General features: G+C 46.9%; 1 protein-coding gene across 36 annotated transcripts in view; it reads right to left on the reverse strand.

Moving 5' to 3' along the window:
* Positions 1 to 2,763: 2,763 nt before the first annotated feature.
* TRIM66 (tripartite motif containing 66) overlaps positions 2,764 to 21,613 on the reverse strand; it is a 71,192-nt gene continuing 52,342 nt past the window's right edge. For 19 of the 36 annotated variants that reach the window (XM_017018629.2, XM_011520507.4, NM_001388023.1 and 16 more), the window contains 10 exons: positions 15,437 to 15,952; positions 15,083 to 15,275; positions 13,540 to 13,600; positions 12,369 to 12,543; positions 11,756 to 12,045; positions 11,170 to 11,296; positions 10,774 to 10,848; positions 10,107 to 10,259; positions 9,474 to 9,692; positions 2,764 to 8,727 (listed from right to left, as the gene is read on the reverse strand). In XM_017018629.2, coding sequence (XP_016874118.1) covers positions 8,668 to 8,727; positions 9,474 to 9,692; positions 10,107 to 10,259; positions 10,774 to 10,848; positions 11,170 to 11,296; positions 11,756 to 12,045; positions 12,369 to 12,543; positions 13,540 to 13,600; positions 15,083 to 15,275; positions 15,437 to 15,952 — 1,869 coding nt within the window. In that variant the 3' untranslated portion in view covers positions 2,764 to 8,667. Of the gene's footprint in view, positions 8,728 to 9,430; positions 9,693 to 10,106; positions 10,260 to 10,773; positions 10,849 to 11,169; positions 11,297 to 11,755; positions 12,046 to 12,368; positions 12,624 to 13,539; positions 13,601 to 15,015; positions 15,276 to 15,432; positions 15,953 to 21,613 lie in introns of those variants that run through there. The other 17 variants (NM_001388024.1, XM_047427941.1, XM_047427943.1 and 14 more) reach the window with 9 other exon arrangements.

The following is a 21,613-nucleotide window of genomic DNA, read 5'->3' on the forward strand; positions in this document are numbered from 1 at the left end:
CTCTAACTTACAAATTGTTTTCAGGTATAACAGAATTTTTATGAAACTTTATGAAATTGTTATAAAATTAACAATTATAGGTTTAACATGATATATAGACGTTTAATAAGACATTTATGTATAATTTGCCATTTTTCATTTTATATTGTTTCAGGACTTTTTTTTTCTTCTTGAGATGGAGTTTTGCTCATGTTCCCCAGGCTGGAGTGCAATGGCGCAATCTCAGCTCATGCAACCTCCACCTCCCGGGTTCAAGCGATTCTCCTGCCTCAGCCTTCCGAGTAGCTGGGATTACAGGCATGCACCACCAGGTGCGGCTAATTTTGTATTTTTAGTAGAGACGGGGTTTCTCCATGTTGGCCAGGCTGGTCTTGAACTCCCGACCTCAGGTGTTCTGCCCGCCTCAGCCCCTCAAAGTGCTGGGATTACAGGCGTTAGCCACTGCACATGGCCAGGAGTTTTTTTTTTTTTTTTTTTTTGAGACAGGGTCTCACTCTGTTACCCAGGCTGGAGTACAGTGGCACGATCATGGCTCACTTCAGCCTCAACCCCCAGGCTCAAAGTGATCCTCCCACTTCAGCCTCCTGAATAGCTGGGTCTACAGGTGTGTGCTACCACACCTGGCTAATTTTTTTTTTAAGAGACAGGGTCTTGCTATGTTGCCCAGGCTGGTCTTGAACTCCTAGGCTCAAACAATCTTCCCACCTTGGCCTCCCAAAGTGCCAGGGTTATAGGTGTGAGCCACAGTGCCTGGCCAGGACTTATTTTTATAGGCCTTTGAAAGATCCTAGACCCTGGATACTATGCCTCTACTCTCTAGTGGATAAAATAATCCATAGGCCAGGTGGGGAGGAAGAGGAGGTCAAATACTGCCCTACCTATGAGAGCAAGACTTGCTCCAGGGAGCTGGCCTGACTAGCAGCTTGCCATGGAACCCAAGGAGTCGGGGGAGTAGAAGGGCTGTGTCCCTAGAACCTAGAGAAGGACTAGTACTAATAAAATTAGTAAGGCAAGTCAGTGTGGTGGTACATGCCTGTATCTCAGCTACCCAGGAGGCTGAGGCAGGAAGATCACAGAGTAAGCAGGGAAACGGTTCACGTACTTGGGCCAGTCTGGAGAGGGGTGAGAGGTCAGAGAAAATTTTTCAGGTCTCATCTTAAGCATTAAAACTGATGATTATCCTTCCTTGAAACACAAACTCCCTTGGCTTCTCTGATACCACATCCCTCTAGTTTTCTTCCCACGTCCTGGCTGCTGAGATGGAGAATATGAGAGGAAGAATCTGTTAAGGGGGTGGCTAGTGTGTCAGGTAACACTGAGACTTCCAAGGGGAGGTGTCCAATAGACCACAGGATCGGTGAGTCTGGAGCTCAGAAGAGTGGGTCCATGACTTTTATCACCAAACATCAGTTAGAGTGTTGAGTTGCAAGTACCAGAAACCATTTCTGGCTGATGTAAGCAAAAAAAATGAATTTATTATAAGGTTTTTTACGTGGTTCACAGAATTGTCAGGAAGGCTAGAGAATTATACTCAGAGCTGTGCAGCCAGGAACAATTCCTGAAATCATGTGCAAAACTGGTCTGCTGAAGAAACTGGCAATGACATCGAGCCCCACGTGCTTCACCTTGTACCGCTGCTGCTGCTACTGCTGCCATGGAAACCCCACCTGCCTGCAACCAACACTGTCACCGGAAAGGAGGCTCTGGGCTTTTTTTTTTTTTTTTCCATAAATCACTACCACTAGGCCTGTAACCTGACTTCAACGGATGCCAGGAAATCAAGATTCTAGTATATTTAGCTTCTGTAGGGAGGAATGAGCTGTGTCTCCCAAGACTCCTGAGGTGGGAAATTCACCAAAAATAGGAAAGGGGTTCAGACTTTATGCAGCCTAATTGAACGACAAATATTCGTAACAATGTCCTTGACCCCCCCCAAAAAAAAAAAAAATGGCTAGAAACCACTAGCATGGAGGAAGCAGAGAGGACAGCGAGGGATAGGTAACCATCCTTATAAAGAACTATATAAAGAACATTCTTGAAGTGTTTAGCACTTGGAAGTGTTAGGCATTCATATGATGCCTTTTCCCTAACTCCACCACAGACTTGTTGCCTGTGTTTTGAGAAACAGGCTGTGTTAACACAGTAAGAAGCCGAGACATGCTGGCATGTCCCCGTAGTCTCAGCTACTCAGGAGGCTGAGGTGGGAGTAGCACTGGAGCCCAGGAGTTTGACACCAGCCTGGGCAACGCAGCAAGACCTTGTCTCTGAAGAAAACTAAAAATAATAAAAATAAGAAGCAGGCTGGGCGTGGTGGCTCACGCCTGTAATTCCAGCACTTTGGGAGGCTGAGGCGGGCAGATCACAAGGTCAAGAGATTGAGACCATCCTGGCCAACATGGTGAAACTCCACCTCTACTAAAAATACAAAAAATTAGCTGGGCGTGGTGGTGCGCACCTGTAGTCCCAGCTACTTGGGAGCCTGAGGCAGGAGGATCGCTTGAACCTGGAAGGCGGAGGTTGCAGTGAGCCGAGATCGCGCCACTGCACTCCAGCCTGGCGACAGGGTGAGACTCCCGTCTCAAAAAACAAAACAAAAAATAATAAGAAGAAGAAAAAGCAGAGAGGTGAGTTCTTCCCTAGAGAGAAAGGCTTCCCAGGCTATTCTTCCCCACCTTGAGTTCTTATGATGTAGAGATCTAGGGGCAAGAAGACCATGTGATAGGTTCAACTATCTTCGCTGAAAAACACTCCAGGACGCAATTCTTGGTAAAGAAAAGTGCTGTTTTTTATTTGTTCTTGAATGTATAGGTTCTTTTAAAATCAGCTATACTTCCCTTTAAAATATCCTCCCTCATGCCCCAACCGCTTAGAATCCAATAGCCACTCCTAACAAGGGCCTAGGAGGAACTCATCCTACATAGCCAAGAAAGGGGTACAGCTTGAGGAATGGGCATATGGCTCAGGAAGCAGCACCAGCTGATAAGAACTTTCCCCAAAGCAGCTCTGTTTGGCTTGTGAGTCTCCTTTCCCTGCCCTGGTCTGGACTCCCCCAGCTGTGTCCCACCCCTGGAATTCCCCTGTTCCTTATGTGGCCTGATCTTGAGAGTTAAAATCATAATTAACATCTTTACAGCTGGAGAGCTGAGAGATCACTGTTCTCAGCCATTCTCCCACCACAACTTTATAGATGAGGAAACTGTATCCAAGGTTACACAGCTCATAATGGAAAGAGCCAAAAATTTTGGTGTTCAGACTCTCAAATCAGATATCTTTCTAGTATATACCTCCTTACCTCCAAGAAAGCAACCAATAGCTGCCTCCAACTCCAGAAACAACTGGAGCAAGCAGGTGGTGGTGATCAGCACAGGTGGGAAAGGCCCTGATATAAGGAGTCATGCTGACTCCAGCTGAGCCCCAGCAAGGGAGCAGCCACCGCGCTCCCTAGTCTCCCTCCATCCGAATGTTATCAGCAGCAGGCACCCACCCTGCCAGGTTCTCCTCCTGGTTAGCAGCACTGACATGCACGGAAACACATCTTACCACAATCCCAGGCTCCTTCCCAACTACAGCAGGCTCTAACTGGTGCAGGATCATGGTGAGGAGCTGCCCACCAGCCTGGTAATCCAGTTTAGCCAGACTGCGGCCTGGATGCTGTAAAACCTAATCCACACCCTTGGGCTGACTTAGATGGGGTCTCTTAGCAAACAGGCTAAAACCTCTGTGTTGTCTGGGAGAGACAGAGGGAAGGACTCACAGATGCTGTCCTCCCAGCAGGAGCTCATAAACATGGTTGGCATGAGGAGAACTGAGTTCAGGAAAAGGAAGGGACTCAGGAAATAGAGAGACAGACAGAGGAAGCAGGAGCAGCTGTGATTCTTCCTCCCTACCCAACTCCTGAAAAGAAGAGACCACAGACAGCCACAGACATTTCCCCCATCTAGGTTTCAAGGACAGCTCAGCCTGTGTGGGCTGAGAGGTAAGAGGAGAGAATCCAGAGACTTGTTTTTCTGGATTCTCTGAGAATCCAGAGACTTGTGGTGTCATAAAAGCTAAGGGAGGAGGTTGTTTCACTGAGGGTTGGTGGGTGGTGTGAAATGCTGCGGAGAGGTCAAGACAGCTGAGCACTGAAAGGTATTCATTCTATTTGGCAACTGGGCAGTCACTGGTGACTTTTATGAAAAAGTATAGAGGGCTGAAGAACAGCTGAGGAAGAATCAGTTTAAAAAGGATCTTTTTAAAAGTAACTTGGTTAACAAGGAAAATGTGTAAGGGGTAACAGACTCTGAGAAATGCTGTTTTAATCTTGTGGAGAACTTGTTTGCAGGCTGTGTGGAGGTAACCAGTGGAGACAGAGGCTGGAGACTCCAGGGAGTGGGAGCAGTGGAGTAAGCGAGGGAGCAGTCTTGGAGGACATACAACAGGATTCAAGATATAGAGAATTAAATAGGAGCAAGAATGGAGGGGTTGGGGAGAGTTACAGACACAGATGAATGAGAGGGGAGAGAGGAACAGCAGGCAAGGAAGCTCTTGCTTTAGGGGCTGTCTTCTGTGAAGTAGACAGTGAGCTCAGTCATTTGTGGAGGACAAAGATGGAGGCATGGGTGGGGAAAAAAAAAGGGATCACAACAAGTTAAAGAATTTCCAGTCAACACTGAGAGCTCAACTGAGGCTGCCAACTGTGAATCTGTCATGCATAGCAGCCCAGGAGGTGGAAGCAGCAAATATGATGATGCCGAAAATGGAGAATGGCTGATAGTTTCAGCAAAATTGAAGGGGATACGCCTGGCGCAGTGGCTCACGCCTGTAATCCCAGCACTTTGGGAGGCCAAGGGAAGCAGACTGCTTGAGCCCAGGAGTGTTGATACCAGCTTGAGCAACATGGCGAAACTCCATCTCTACCTAAAGTAGAAAAATTAGCCAGGCATGGTGGCATGCACCTGTAGTCCCAGCTACTCAGGAGGCTGAGATGGGAGGATCACCTGAGCCCAGAAGGCAGAGGTTGCAATGAGCCGACATCATACCACTGCACTCCAGCCTGCATGACAGAGTGAGACTCTCTCTCTCAAAAAATAAAAAATAAATAAATAAATAAATAAATAAAGTTGAAGGGCATGAGAAAGTTCAGGATGCTGACAAAAACATCAGTGTGTGATAGGCTCTGGGTTCATGCTGGGGAGAGGAAGAAGTCCAGGAGAAAGTTAAAAGACAAGGAGAGGAGAGAGAGGGCTGAGGTCATGGAAATGGACTAAAGGAGCAGGGCAATTTTAGCAGTACTGAGGGATGGAGAAGAAGCCCAGGAAGGGGTGATCCAGAAGGAGCAAAGGCTCAATTCTGGCGTTCAGAAAGGAAGACTATAAGTGACTCCATGGAGTGAGAGAGGGAGCAGAACAGAGCCCAGGAACAAACAAGGAGGCGCCTCCGTCTTAGCAGCCAGGCAAGGAGCTGTTGCTAGAAATGGGTACAGGGAGGGAGCCAGAGTCCGCTGGTGGGGGATGGCAGGGACTGCCATGGAACAGAGCATATGGAAGGTATGGTTGCCACTCAGGTAGGGGTCCTAGAGGCAGGCAAGGTGTATAGTTAGCAATTGCTAGAAGTCAGGCAGGGCTAACCTAACCATGTTCTGTGGAAGAGTGCTCTGCAAGTTCATCCTGAACCAATTTTTTTTTTTTTGAGACGGAGTCTCGTTCTGTTGCCCAGGCTGGAATGCAATGGCATGATCTCAGCTCACTGCAACCTCCACCTCCCGGATTCAAGCAATTCTCCTGCCTCAGCCTCCCAAGTAGCTGGGATTACAGGCATGTGCCATCACACCTGGCTGATATTTGTATTTTTAGTAGAGACAGGGTTTCACTATGTTGGCCAGGCTGGTCTCGAACTGCTGTCCTTAGGTGATCCACCCACCTCAGCCTCCCAAAGTGCTGGGATTACAGGCGTGAGCCACCGCGCCCAGCCAAAAAATAAAATAAAATTTAAAAATCCTGAACCAATTTTTAACTAAAATCCCCTTGCATCAACTGAAGCCATTTTACTGTCTTATTTCTCAGCATACCCAAGAAGTCAATTTTTCCTCTAGGGCTGCATGCTGTCCCATAAGAATCTAGAACTCACCGTATTTCCACTGCATGATGTTGTCAAGGACAAAAGGACTTGGCTGACTTCAAAACTGGGCCATTATGGGAATAAGTCAAAAGCAGGATCAGCCCAAATGTTAATGAAGAGCCTCTGCAGGCAGTCACTTGGCTAGTAGGATTTTTTTTTTTTTAATTTCTAAGTCATGTTCTGGTTTTTGCATGCAAAAACAAAACAAAACCATGATTCAAAACACTGGTGGCTAGGTCTAAAGGAAAAGCCAGCGAGAGGCAGGTGTGTAAAGGGAGCCTCTCAGCATGCAGGCTCTCTACGATGAGAAGGGAGCATGTGTCTCTCTAGCACATTACTAAGACCCCCTCTGGCCCAGCAAGCTGATCCGTGAGCCCAGGAGGCCACACCCAAGCTGGGAGCCTCACTCATATAAGGAAAGCCAAGCTTTTAACAGGTATTTCTGCTTTAAATTTGTGGTCTCCAATTGCTCCTGAGGAAGGATCAGGTCTGAGCCTGTCACAACACTCACCAGTTGCCCAACACCAAGTACAACAAAGTTCACAGGATGGTGGGAATGTGGGCTGCACAAAGGAAAGATGACCTAGAGCAGGAATTAGTGACATGAGAACAGAGGGTACTTTGCCAAGCCAACTGAACAGAGAAGGAGATTCAAAAATTGAAAGGGAAATGACCAGACCCCAAACCAGAAAGTCATGTGAGTCTCAAAGGGCAGAAGCCTAAGTCCAAAGATTGCCGGACTAGTAAAGCATTCAAGACTCAGTTACCCCAAACTAGAAAACGGGATCACGGAAGCCCATCTGCTTAGAACGTGGCATGTGCTGCTGAAAGAATGGCAAGCCAAGGGGCATGGTTTGCTTTAAAGTGAAGATGATCTCTCAGGTTGGGTAGAGAAGGAAATGAGCAATACCATCAACTCACAAAGAGAGAAGAAATGTTTTCTAATTAAAAAACTGCTCATTAGCAAAGGCCCTACAAACAAGAACATCCTTGAACTTCATCTGTTAGCAAAAATAAAGCCATGACCTCAGACTCCCCTGAAATTAGCCATGCAATGACAGGACCAGGGAGAGCTGTCTCAGTCCTGGCCACTGACATGTCAGGTTCATAGCTCCCCCAACAATATGAGCAATGGGTTCCTTCTCAACCAAGCCCTTGCTTGGGAGGTAGCCTGACCTCCAGTATCCTCACAAACACCCTGCGAGGGCCATGCAGATGCATTCAGGATGCAGCCTCGAGCTCCTGTTCCCATGGCTTCCAGAATGCTTCTCTCTGCATTCTAGGAGAACTAAGGCTCTGAGGTTGCTTCATGGTCACCAAAGGACACTGGCTTTTTGCCTCTTGATTTTTCCCCCTGTCCACCTTAGACAAACTTCCCCCAGGAATGTCTAGATCTGGCCCCTGTTGGTCCCTGAGGCCTTCTCTAACCTCCAACAAAAAGGGCTGCCAGAAAAGTGTTGGCTTTTTTGGGGCTGTAGACAGCCTGGAGGCGGGCTGGTCAGAAGACTCACTTCTGATCTTTGGCTCATGAACTTGGAGAGGTTGAGAACTAGAATCTTTAAGCAGGAGGAGAGGCCCAGAGGAGTGAGCTGGTTGTGGGTTACTCTCTCCACCCATGGAACTCTGGACCTGAAGCAGACAGCAGCTGTCTCACAGTATTCACAAGCAGAACTCACGATCCATACCTCTGAATGAGGATGATGAAGGGTATGGCCACTGACAAGCACCAACAGTCACTTCTAGGAAGGCAGGTTCTCACCCTAAAGAAGTGTGATTAGCCCAGAGTAAGTAGCACAGAGGGCGGGCTCTGAAGTGGACATCTTACTAAGTCTGTAAGTGAAATCTGAACCAGAAGATTTAAGTGGTCTCTCCACAGCCACCCAGCTCAGTCAAGAATGTCACACCATCCACAGCATTTTCACAGCAGCCACCTATGTCAACATCAGGAAAGTGACTATGCAAAACAAATACCCTGAAAACCGTTAGAACCCAAATAGGCACAAATTGAGACCTATGGCCTCTAGAAGCCTCCACTAGTCTGCACATGGCAGGTGCCTCTATCCAGACAGGACAAGCAAAGGCAAACAGTGACAGTCTTTGGCTGTGCTGGGCCAGGGATCACAGTCCTGCCATATGTCTAAACCTCTCTCCCTTCTTTTACCCACTTCTGAGCCCAGGAGGAGTTCAGATGTATACATGGCTCCTGAGCCCTGGACACTAAAAGGTTAGACGGGTCTGCTTTCCCAGGCAGAAAAAAATTCACCAAGGAAAGTAGGTTTTCCCGAGCCTAACCAGGTGTGGTCTTGTCAAGTGGAGCCTATACATCTGATTACTCTGGTAATAATAAATACCTTCCTCTTTCCTGTTTATTACTGAAATCTTCTCTGTAGTGGATGTACTACGGCTCCCAAATAAATGCTGTAGATGCAAATGGCAAAGAAGAGCACTACACAGTTCAACAAGACTCATCTACCATCCACACTCTGAAGAGGATAAGCTGCAAGATGGGGAGGAATGGTCGACAGTATGGGACAACAGCTGCCAGAGTGCCCAGTCTCCTTTTGGCTCTCACACCTGAGAGATGCTGTTGGCCAGGCGAAATGACATTCTTTTTGCTCTTTCATTCTCCTGAAAGAAAAATATATATTTGGAATTAAAATAGCCAAATGTAGGATTTATTAACATGAAAAGGCTATGTCAAGATTGCAGTTCTGCCAAGTCAACGTATTTTATTCTACCCTAGGAATGCAGCAGTAAAACTTACTGAAGCCACTAAACATTGTATGCTAAGTATGGTAAACAACTGGGGATGGCTGGCCAGACCCTGGCACACAGTAGGCAGGCAAAATATTTCAGTGGAATTAAACAGCCCTGAATGGACATTTCTGGTCTACACAGGTGGGACCAGCCCAAAGATCAGAGGAGCTCTCTCTGCTGCAAGCAATACCTCTCCTTCCTTACCTACACCAAGGGGCTAAGAAAGATCCCTTCCTTTCTCTCTCAAACCCAAATAGAAACCAGGCACTAAGACCAGGTAATTCCCTTCTTAGGGGCATCACAATCACAGTGTGGAGTAACCAGCACCAAACTGGGAATCAGGACAACTGGTTTCTCAGCCCAGGTCTGCTGCTAAATGCTGGGTTACCCTGGGCAGGGACAGGCACCTTTCTGAGTTTCAAGTCTCGTGAGTAACTGGCATTGATGGGCCCTGTACTGCCCTGCCTTCCCTGGGGGCTAAGGGGCTGGAAGTGAGGGTTCGTTGTCACCACCATCTTTTTGCACCACCCGAACAGCTTCACCTTAGGTTCTGCTTGGGTGCCCCTCTGCTTGCCTGATCACCGCCCACCTGCTGCTGGCTGGCAGTAACTCTTTACCATATGTCGTCGCCGCCTCTTGGGTTGGATGCCCTCCTGCATGTAGGGAGGCCACGGGAAGCCCTGGGGAGTGGAACATCCACTCTCACTAGACACCTCCTCGGAGTCTGAGTCCTCCTGCCTTGGCTGGGCAAACCGTTTCTCCGGGTAGATCTCCTTCAACCAGCCCTCAAAGAACACTTCCAGGCAGCGGCCAGCCTCTGCAACCTCGGAGTCAGGCTGATGGGGGAGGAGAGCAGTGATGGTCTAGCCTGTTTCTACCAGTCCATCTCTTTCGGGTCCCTCAAGAGCTACACAGAGCACAAAGCCTAGCGGGGTGTCCTGAGGTGTCTGGAACTTGACATTTTTCTCCTAGGACTCAGGAAAACTAGTTTGGTAGCAGCTCTTATAGCAGAAGTGACCCCAACAGGTATCCACAGATGGCCACTCACTAGTACCTCCCCTTTTTCCTGAGTCCATGCTAAGGCCTGAGTGTGGGAGAGAGCTTTTAAACACTCACCACAGCAGGCCCCCAGAATCTGCTCCCCAGTCCTCATGGCAGCCCAGACCAAACCTAACCTCCCAACCCTACCCACCCATGACAGTCCTGGGGATGCAGGGAAATAGGAGAGAGGGAAAACAGGCAAGACATACATAATTGAACTTAGCACAGTTCCAGAACATGAGGCGCACATCTGATACCACCTCCTCTGGGGTGGTATAGTGAGCTGGGTCCTTCTTTTGCAGCTTCCTCCGGATGATTGACAGGTCCATGGGCCTCTTGATAATCTGGTAATAATGCCGGGCCTTGGGGGAGGAGACATGAGGAGAAGGAGGCAAAGGGAGTGAGAGAAGAAATGGAGGTGTGGATAAGAAGGAAGAAGAAATGGAAAATGAGGTGAAATATAAGTGAAAGAATAGGAAGAGGAATGATGAGGAGCAGCAGGAAGAAAAGGATGGAGAAAGAAGACAAAGAGCAAGGGAAAAGGAGGAATGTGTCACCTGTCAAGTAGGATCTGATACAGTAGCAGTTGTGGTGGGGGAGGCTGGAATGGCCATGGCCCTACGGTCCCCTGGACTATCCATAAGTTAATATTGTCACTACTCCCAGTGGCCATGCTCTGAGCCCAACCTGGGAACCACCACGCTCCTGCCCCATGGCCTGGGCCCTCTGAGCAGAAAAGACAGTAGCAGGCACAAAATTCAATAACTCAGAATTTTGTGACTCTAGAAAAACAGGGGTTAGGGGAGGCTGGGGTAGCAGTATAGGCACAAATCCACATGCAAGGAGAAGGTGAGAGAACAGCGTGGCCTTCCTTACCAGGGGGCTGACAGGTTCATGGAAGGGCAGGCTGAGGTTATTGCAGCACAAGGACAATACCAGCTTCTCACACTTCTGCAAAATCAGAATTGGCAACAGAGTCACTTTGTTCTGGTCTCACCTCAGTATGAACTAAAGATGTTGACCCTGATAACTCCCTGGCTCTGTCCCACAGGATGCCAGCTGCCATACTAAGGCACAATTCAGGTTCCCAAGCCAGAGGAAAACTGCTAGGAGAAGGAAAATTATCCAAACACCCCTGGGCCAAGTTGTCAGGCATAGGACGAAGAAATGTATCCAGAAAAGCCCCTCATCCCCTCTCAAAGGCCTCAGACCCTGTAGGCAGAAGGGGGCTGCCAAAGGCAGGGAACCTTGTTTCCAAAGACTCCTCCCTACCTTCTGGTCATACATGCTTAGGCCAGGAGATGCCCGCATTCCAGGCTGGTTATAGCAGGCATTCTCACAGTCGTACTCCATCTCGGGCTGGGTCAGGCTGCGGCACAAGGTACACACCCACTCTCCCCTGCAGGGGCAGGTGAGGCCATGTTAGGCCTCAGCACATTGCCCAGAGCACCCTTCCCTCTCCCTCTGCCCTATGGCAGGCGTGAGAAACTGAGTCTCCGGCTTTGCCGTGTAAGAAATGGCTTTCTAGCCACAGGCTTGGAAGAAATTCAATAACTCAGAATTTTGTGAATCTAGAAAAACAGGGGTTAGGGGAGGCTGGGGTAGTAGTATAGGCACAAATCCACATGCAAGAAGAAGGTGAGAAAAGAGGTAGAAATGAAGTCAACCAAATGTCAAGCATCCACCTGTCTGTGTGCAGAAGATACCCAGGCCCATTAACTCACAGACCTGCAATTCAAGCAGGTCCAGAAGAGGGGAGTAAGCCCATCCTGGGAGCTCTGTGGGCCTGGCCTGGAATAATCATCCCTGGAAGGTAACCCTACTAGCCAGGTGATGGTCCTGGACTGGCATGACTCACCCTGGGAAGCTGAGCAAGGCTGGCACATGGCAGGAGAGGTGGAACACTTTGGGGCAGCGGTCACAGCACAGTAACTCTCCGCCATTGAGGCAAACAGCACAGAAGTCCTCATTCTCTATTGGGGCTGGGGGGCCCTTCTTGGCTCCTGGGGTTCGAGGAATGAGTCTGTGTTCTTCAGGAGATGTGCCCTCCACTTCTGGTGGCCGCTGCCCAGCCAAAGAAGTGACAGTGACCTTTCTTCCCTCCAGACCTGGGGCCTGGGTGGCCTCAGACAGTCTGTCCTGGCTGACCTTGGGGAAGAAGTAAGTCTGGGCAGCCAGAGCACAGAACCAACAAGCTCTCGAGGGAGGGGAGGGAGAGACTGGCAGGCCCTGCATGCCTACATGAGAGCCACTTATTCCAGGACCCCAAGCCAGCAAGCCCCATGAATGCTGGGACACCTCACTCCTAATATGCATCTCACAGGACCTTGCAGCAGGGGACAACGTCTGGCCAAGCTGCAGCCCCATCAGAGACTCAGGAAAGGTCCCAGAGTCAGAATTCGGGCAGTAGCAGAAAGAATAAGCTCTTAGGCTGGGCCAGGGTTTAAGGCCAAGGCAAAGCAAAGTGGTACCTTAATGGACATGCTGGAGGACTCAGTGCCACACTCGATGATCAGCAGGAAGCTCCCATCCTGATCATTCTTCTGTGGCTTCAGTTTGAACACAGGCATCTCTCCTGAGGAGGCAGCACAGATCTTGAGTCGCTCCAGTCGCACATAGGGAATCTTATGCTCACTATTGAAGGCTCTGCAGCAAGACAGACACCCCGGGGTCTTGGTGGGATCCTCCTCTGGTCCCAACCTCTAAGTCAGAAACATCCATGATCCCTGTGATGATTAATATTGAGTGTCAACTTGATTGGATTGAAGGATACAAAGTATTTATCCTGGGTGTGTCTGTGATGGCACTGCCAAAGGAGATTAACATTTGAGTCAGTGGGCTGCGAAAGGCAGGCCCACCCTTAATTGGGTGGGCACCATCTAATCAGCTGCCAGCAAATATAAAGCAGGCAGGAAAACATGAAAAGGAGAGACTGGCCTAGCCTCCTGGCTATATCTTTCTCCTGTGCTAGACGCGTCCTACCCTTGAACATCGGACTCCAAGTTCTTCAGTTTTGAGACTCAGACTGGGTCTCCTTGCTCCTCAAGCTTGCAGACAACCTATTGTGGGACCCTGTGATCACGTAAATTAATACTTAATAAACTTCCATATATATATGTATATATATATGTGTGTGTGTATATATATGGAAGTACACACACACACAACACACACACACACACACACACACACATATATATATATATATATCTCCTACTTGTTCTGTGCCTCTAGAGAACCCTGACTAATACAATCCCCAGCTGAATTGTTACTCCAGATCCTCTTGGATTTGGACTCTGAATGTGGACTCTACAGGTCCACCACATTCTGTCCTCCTGGCCCACCTCTGCATGGCCAGGCCCTGTCAGCCACTGGGAAGCCCTATGGTGTAGTCCTGGTCAAAGACAGGAGCTCCCTGAAGTGCAAGGGCGGCACCCAGAGCGCATGCCTCGTGGTGCAGGAGCCAGGACATCCTCCCACAACCATCCCAGACATCCACTTGAAGGTTGAGGGGTTGAGGAAGGCAGTTGCAGGCAAATTTCTTCCACTTGTAGTTAATTCATCAAGGATGCTTCATCCCTGTGCCAGCATCTCAGGACGTGAAGTCATGGGTGGGAGGGAGATTAGCCAGAAGGCTGTTACCTGATGCTCTGGTTCTCTTTTGCATCCAGCTCTAGGGCTCCTTGTTCAAAATTCTCACACTCTAAGGCAAAAGACAAACAAATACCTGTGACACACATTTGTGGCAACAAACCCCGTCATGCATATCTTCTACTTATATCTGCTATTCATACCTTTGGCCACACATCTGTCATACAGTAGTTACCTACACTATAGTCATTCATACATAGTGGTGACAAGTCTGCCGTGGATCTCCTTCTTGAGAGGAGGAAGCCCACCTTCTTTTAAAAAGATGAACACAAGTAACACTCAAGAGGCTGCCTATGGGTAAGTGTTGGGTCAGGCACTGATGGGCCAGTTTCTCACCTTCAAGATGAGCTCAGAAATCACTTGTTCTCAGTACACCAGTGTTGCCTCCTCTGAGGAGTCTTTTTGTCCAGCCTCTGCCATGTCAGCCAAGTGCTGGGATTCCAGCAGTGCTTGAGAATCCAGCTCACACTCCATGGAAAAGAGGCTCCCAGGGAGTTCTCCCCTGAGTATGCAGTCTATGGAGATGGGCAGGAGGCAGTGATGGGGCAAAAGGATGAAACTAGCATCCATTCAGCACCAGGCAAGGTCCTAGGCACTGTACATGCGCAAGCAGGGTCTAAAAAGTTTAACTGCATAAAATGCAGAGTTACATTATTGTGTGTAATAAGAACCAACGATTTTTCAGTTGGCCTTTCAGTCAGTGTGAAAAAAAAGGAGAAAAATTATTTCTTTCGTTTTCATTTATTACACATATAGGAAACAGACTAATCATTACAAATTAAACACGCATCATACATTGAACGAAAAAAGTCCCAAATGATCATCAGGAAGTCGCTTCCTGACTTCCCAACTAGCCCTCACCTTCCACAGAAGAACAAACTTAGCCTAGCCTGGTTGGAGAAGGGGCATGGGAAGCTGAGAAGCGAATCAGAACCAATCTCCAATGGTCCAAATTGCCTTCACTATGAGGCACAACACAAATCCACATTAGTGTCAGGTACCAGGAAAATCCTTACTACTCAGAGGAAGTTATCAAATGATTTCACTATAGTTACTGGTCCCAGTAGCCTAAGAAGTAGGTGCGATTGGCCCCATTTAGAGAGAAAGAAATCAGTTGAGGGAGGTTAGGTATCTTACCCGGGATCACAGGGAGAGAGAACTGGTTTACCAAATTCCATCTATCGGACTCCAAAGTCAGACATGCTCTTTTCCCTATAACATTTTGTCAAGGCTAGCCCTCCTGGGCTGAGTTCTGTTTCCCCCTAGGTATAATGCAGACCCCCAGGACTCTTTGCATGGGGAGTGTTACAAAAAGAGTAAGTCCTGGCCATGCCTAGATCAGCCATGGCCACAGTGAGGGAAGCAGAACAGGTGTCACTAAGACAGTTCCGGAGGAGAGAAGTAAATTCAGCCTCAGAGAGATGCACTGCTTCCCCAGCTTAGAGCTTGTCTGCTGGCCTCTCTTACCTAGAAGTGCTGAGTCCATCTGCTCAAGTCTGTGGCCAACATGAAGGGCAGGCTGCTTGAGTCTCACCTTTTGGGTTCTGGTACTGCTGCAGAGCTGTAGACGTGCTGACCACTGGCGCCAGTGGAGGTTTCTTCACAGAGAGGTTAATTGGCTCCTCCAGTTCTGAGGGGATGGCCAAGTCCTTGGGAGCATCCAGACCGGGGACTATGGGACCTTGTCCCAGTAAGTCAGTGAAGCGAGTGGAATCCTCACTTTCCATCTTTCAAAAGTGAAATGTCGACAAGAATCAAAGAACTCAGACATGGTTGTCATTAGTGGTCTCAGAACTGTTAAGCTAAGGTCAGAATAAGGGTCCCAGTGGCCAATCTTTTGCCCAATGATGAACAAAGGAAGTTTGGATAGCATTTCCCCAGGACTTACCTTACACAGAGCATTCTCCAGGGAGGGATCAGCCCCATCTCTGGGACACAGGCTCCCTGAAGTTCGGCCAGAACTGGAGCTGGACCCAGTTTCTGGCTGCATGTCAGAAACTGGAGGGATGCTCTGCAGAGGACAAGTTGCCAGACTCGGCACAGCCTGGGTGTGACCAGACATTAGGCTGGGCCCAGCCTGAGGGTGATCACTTGCCAGGCTTGCCATAGCCTGAGGGGAGTCACTTATCAGGTTGGGCATGGACTGGAATGTGCTATGCACAAGGCTGGGCACAGTCTGTAGGTGACTGGTTGTCAGGCTGGGCATGGCCTGGTTTTGAACACTTGTCAGGCTGGACACCATTTTGGGGGGAGCACTCAGCAGGCTTGGTACTGCCTGGGGGGCACCAGCTGTCAGGTTGCTCACACTCTGGATCTGTGGCTCTAGGGGCCTCTCCAACCTGGTAGATGACAACTCCATCTCCAGAGTGTTGGAAAAGCCCATGATGCTCAGCGAGGTGGAGTGCTGCAGGAACAGAGACAAGGGGTAGAGTCAGGCTGCTAGCTGGGAATGGAGGGAGGGAGAGGAGGGACCCAACCCACAGGAACTCCCATGCTCCAATTCCACTCTGGCTTCAGAGTCTGGTAGCTGCTGGTAGCTGCCAGGAACTCAGGCAATGCATGAAGCCCTGTTCCTCTTCCTGAAACCAAGGAGGCTGCTAGGCTATGACATAGAGAGAGAGGCACAAGCGGAGAACTATTGTGTGTGTGTGTGTGTGTGTGTGTGTGTGTCACAGCAAGAGTGAGAAGGAGAACTTATTGCCTGACCTGAGGCATGTACACACACACACAGACACACACACAGACACACACACACACAGCCATATCCCTCACCCCAGTCTTGTACCTAAGCAAAGGGTCCGGCTGTGGGACTGCCCTCTAACTTCAAATTCCCCTCTGACTATACCACCAGTGGCTTCTCTTCCCGTCAAGGGGTGCTATAGAATAGTTTCTGCTATACAAAAGTAGCAGGGGGTTGAGAAGGCTCAAACTCTTATCTGCCTCAGACCTTCTTTGAGAGAATGCCAAGGCTCAGAAAGTTCCAATCAGTCCTGGGGAACCTGGGTCAACTGCAGGGCCTTCTTATGGGGTTGTTCAGATCAACTCCAAGCACTACTAGCATTTGATGTAGGCTTTAACCAAGATATTTGAAGGTCTTTTCTGGCCCTAGTATACCTGCCAAAGATATTCCAAACCAGAGGCAGAGAACATCAAAGCAGCTAAATCTTAATATCACCCAATCCGTACAATCATTGGATAAGGCAGTAATGTTCTGACTCCAAAATTATTTTCTTACATCTGAGGAGAAGAGATGTAAAAGGTTTATAAAAAGAAGTTGAAGATACAGATTTCTGTACTGAATCCATTCCATTTTTCAGATTGAAGAGACAGATTTAGGGAAAAGGAGGGAGACTGGCTCTAAATATAATCTTCAGGAATGTGTAAGTTTCATATCCCTGCCCTTTAAAAAAAAGACTAAATATATAACAATTTCACATCTTTTGAAAAACAAAGAGAAAATGGGAATTAGGCATATCTATCTAAGTTTCCAAAATCAGTGTCTTGAACCTGTCATTTCTTCCCCATTCACATTTTCACAGGAAAATAAATACTTCAAATACATTCTCAAGTTTCAATATAAAGTTACTAAAGCTATTTTGCCATGAACACTGTCCTCATCTCAGTGAAAGTCACTCCTAGTCATTCAGTTCTGCAAGTCAGATCCTAGGAAGGAGGCATCAGTGAAGCATCCCTCCTGCCACACCCAAGCTAATACCAAGCCCCATCAATTCTACCCCTTAAACATCTCTCAAATATACCCACTAATTCTTCCCTCTGCTAATGGTGCCCTAGCCTAACCTACTTTCACATCTCCCTAGACAACAGTAGTAGCCTCTTCAATGGAGAAGTATTTTCAAAACACGGATCCGATCACATCATTTCTTTTCATAAAACCCCGCAGTGCGCTACATTCTTCTTAGAATAACTGCAAAAATCCTTAACAAGACTCCCGAGGCCCTGATGACCTGTCCTCTGTCCTCCTTTGTAGCCATAGCTCATTCAATAACCCTCTCCTCATTCACTGAACTCTAGTCACTCATTTTTTCCAGTTCCTGAAACATACCAAGCTCTCCCTCCACCCACTATCCTCACCCCCTTCAGATGGACTGCTTTCTCTGCACAGAGAATTCTCCTACCCCTGCCCTGTTCCACTTATCCTTCAGAACTCAGCTCAACTGACATTTTTTGCCAGAAAGCCTTCTTTCATTCTCTAGTCCAGACTAGGTTCCTGCTTTTATGCTCTCATATGCCTTGTACTTGTACTTTCAGCTTCATACCACAATCCGTGATATCATTTGATTAATGTCTGTTTCCCCTACTAAAGTGTAAACTCCATTAGGGTACGGATTTTTATCTATTTTGCTTACCCACCATATTCCTAGACCCAAGAGCAGTGTCTGGATGAATAAATGAATTAATGAGCTGTTTAAAAATTCAAAACAACACTAATACAGGACTGTTTATTCTACAAATCTTTAGCCAAATGAACAGCAGCTTAGGTCTACTGACAACTTAGTCTATGAGTCTCTCTAAAATAATGATTATTTTTATACAGCTAAAGTTTATTGAGAATTTATTATATGCAAGGCAATTTGCTAAATGTTTTACATATATTACTTTATTTAATCCTCACAATAACCATTAAAGGTTAAAAGAAACAATCCATGTGAACATTTAGAACAATATCTGGCATACTGTAGATGCTCAGTAAACCCCAGTTGTTTCTACTGCTGCTTCTATTATTTTTATTGTTATTATTGTTGCTGCAGACCTAGTTTTACACTTGACAAAGATGAGGCTCAGAAGGGCATCTTAAGTTTTTTCATGTTATTATAAAACATAATTTTGTAGATTTCCATTTCTCTTTATTGTTTGTGTACTGTATATAGAAATACAATTGATTTTTGAATACTGACTTTGTATAGACCTTGCTAAAGTCACTCTGGGATTTTCCTTTGGATTTTCTGTGCACACAAATCATGTGCATCCATGAATAGTAAGTTTTTGTTTTGTTTTTCTGAACAGGGTCTTGCTCTGTCACCCTGGCTGGAATGCAGTGGCACAACCACAGCTCACTGCAGCCTTGACCTCCCAGGCTCAAGCAAGCAATCCTCCCACCTCAGCCGCCAGAGTAGCTGGGACTACAGGCGCATAACATCACATTGGCTAACTTTTATTTTTTATTTTTGTAGAGACAAGGTCTTGCTATGTTGCCCAGGCTGGTCTTGAACTCCTAGGCTCAAGCCATCTTTCCACCTTAGATTCCCAAAGTGCTGGGATTACAGGCATGAACCACCACGCCCATCCTGAATGGTAAATCTATTTTTTTTTCTTTACATTTGTTTTTCTTGCCTCACTCCACTAGCTAAGACCTCCAGTACAATATTGAATAGAAGTAGTGATAGTAGCCATCCTAGTCTCATTTCTGAACTCAGAGGATCCTTTCAATATTTCATCACTAAGTAGATTTGATGTAGATTTTTTTATAGATTTAGATCCAGATCTTGGTTGGGCATGGTGGCTCACACCTGTAATCCCAGCACTTTGGGAGACCGAGGCGGGAAGATCGCTTGAGCCCAAGAGTTCAAGACCACCCTAGGCAATATGGTGAAACCCCGTCTCCACAAATGATAGAAAAATTAGCCAGGCATGGTGGCATGGGCCTGTGGTCCCAGATTCTCTGGAGGCTAAGGTGGGAGGATTGCTTGAGCCCGGAAGGTTGAGACTGCAGTGAGCCAAGATCGTGCCACTACACTCCAGCCTAGGCAACAGAGGAAGACCCTGTCTCAAAAAAAAAAAAAAAAAAAAAAAAAGAGAGAGAATCCAGATCTTTGGTACCAAAGCTACAACTTAATTTTGACTTGTCTCCCTCCATACCTCTCTGGGCTTACTCCCCTTCACTATCTCTCATATTCTGTTCTATTTCTTTTCCTTCCCCCTCTTCTCCTCTCTCCCTCCTCTCTCATGAGCTCCTTCTCTCTCTTCCTGTCCTGCTTTCTTTTATCATCTCTTTCTCTTCTTTCCCTACCTCTTTCCCTTATAATTTAACTGCTTTAGTAAGGCTTATATTTTCTATTCTTAATTTTAAACACAGATGAGTTAAATATCTTTTATCTCTCCAAAGAAAAGTATGCTTTTTATATTTTCCTTAGTAGTTTAATAGTGTTCAGTTTTTTAAAAAGCTTCCATTTCCTCCACAGTCTGAGTGCCAAGACAAGAAGGGTTGAAGAGAAGCAAGGTGGAAAGAATATTTAAACCAAATTGGGTAAGCTAGGAATGAAGCCCAGCTTAAGGGACCAAGGCCAAAAATCAATGGCTATCTCAAACATGCCCAGGCCTGCATTCCTTAATGTCTCCTTGTTGTCCTGGTTATGCACTACCATAGCTTTCTAATATTCTATATTTCCTTATCTATGAACAAGAACACCCAGTGACTATTTCATTCCGTTTTGCAATATATGACAGTCTAATCCTTTGCACTGGATTCTTTCTCCTTTCCCCTATTTGACATGTATGTTTAGTGTGGTTTTGGCGCTCATTTAATCTACCCATGCTGGACATTGAGAATTATATAGATGTCTCTTCTTAGTGAGATCCTTGTTGCCAAGCATTAAGAGCACTAAAATCCACGTGAGACCACCCAAATAATAATGGTCAGGTGCCATACGTCACAAGATATGCACAAGATAAAATCCCCAAGGACAAAACTTCCCAGATTAGGGGTAGAGATCATATTCGTGGGAAATTGGCTCTCCTGTCCTAATTACCTATTGCACATGTGAGTTAACATAATGATAGGGGAGAGGAAGACATGCAGACTGAGCTGTGGAAAAATTGCGGAAACTCCATGGCAGTTTATTTTGAGGTGAACCTGATGAACCTGGTCCCGTAATGCCCAGAAGACAATACGAGGTCAGCAATACATCCCAAGATATTGCATACTTGACTGATTTATTTCCTTTTCACAGCCACAGCCAATCTCAAGGAGGCCAATGCTATCAGGAGAGGGGGTGAAGCTCTGGTAGTATTAACAAGAATGTGGAAAATTTCCACGGAGGAAGGGACTCAGAGAAAGTGCTGTGAGAAAGCCAGCCCAACCCCATTTTTACAGGCTATGCAGACACAATGGCATTTCTGAAACCTATATATGCTATGTGTTAGTTATTTTTATACTATATCGGCTCTCTAGAGTGAAGGGTTGTAAAATATTAAAACAAAAGGTACTTATTTCATGTACAAAAAGAAAAAGAAGATTTGAGAACCTTCATCCTAGTCTGTTGCTAGTGCTACAAGATGGGTGGGGGCAAGGGTAGGGCCAACCTTCAGAGCAAGGAAAGCAGGCTGAGTCTCCAGGGCCTGGGAGGAGAGGAAGCACTTCTCAAGAGCATGATGGGATTGGAAAAGGGCTTGAGAGCGTGGCCAGGTTGTCTGACACTTGGTGCCACCCATGCAGAAGGGAGCTCACTTGTCAATGGAGATGATACCACCCACCCTCTAGACCCCAGGATTGTTCAGAGGTCAAATGACAGGAGGTGAATGTGTATTTCTAGCTATAAAGTACGTAGAGGGTTATCACTGAGGTTTCTAGGCTGTCAACTGTGTAACTGACACCTTGACTTCATCTTTACATACAAAACCTCTAGATTTCATGAAGGAAAAGGTATATTTTGAGATTCACTACTGAAAATAAACTATTTTCTAGTTCAGAGAGGAAGAGTCAAAATGCCAAAACACATTCACTCTGATAATCAGCTCAGGTCATCTTTGGGAGATGGAGAGAGACAACCCTGAGCCTACAGAGCCCCCTCTTACCTCCCTTAACTAGCATCTCCTCTCGATCCTCGTTTCCCTTCCCCCAAACTGTGTGTCCCCGTCCCTGTCCCTTTCCTCTTGCCTCTTTTTTGTCTCCTTATCTTTGTCTGCCACCTGTCTGACTTATCTGAAATTACCTCACCTATTAATTTAATGGATTCAGTTAACCTATTTAACCTACCTGTCTTTACCATCTAACTTGACAACTTGCCTGACCTACGACTTCCCTGAATTGTCTGACTTTCAACCTCTG

The sequence above is a fragment of the Homo sapiens genome, chromosome 11 (genome assembly GCF_000001405.40).
Source record: "Homo sapiens chromosome 11, GRCh38.p14 Primary Assembly".
NCBI classification, from domain to species: Eukaryota; Metazoa; Chordata; class Mammalia; order Primates; family Hominidae; genus Homo; species Homo sapiens.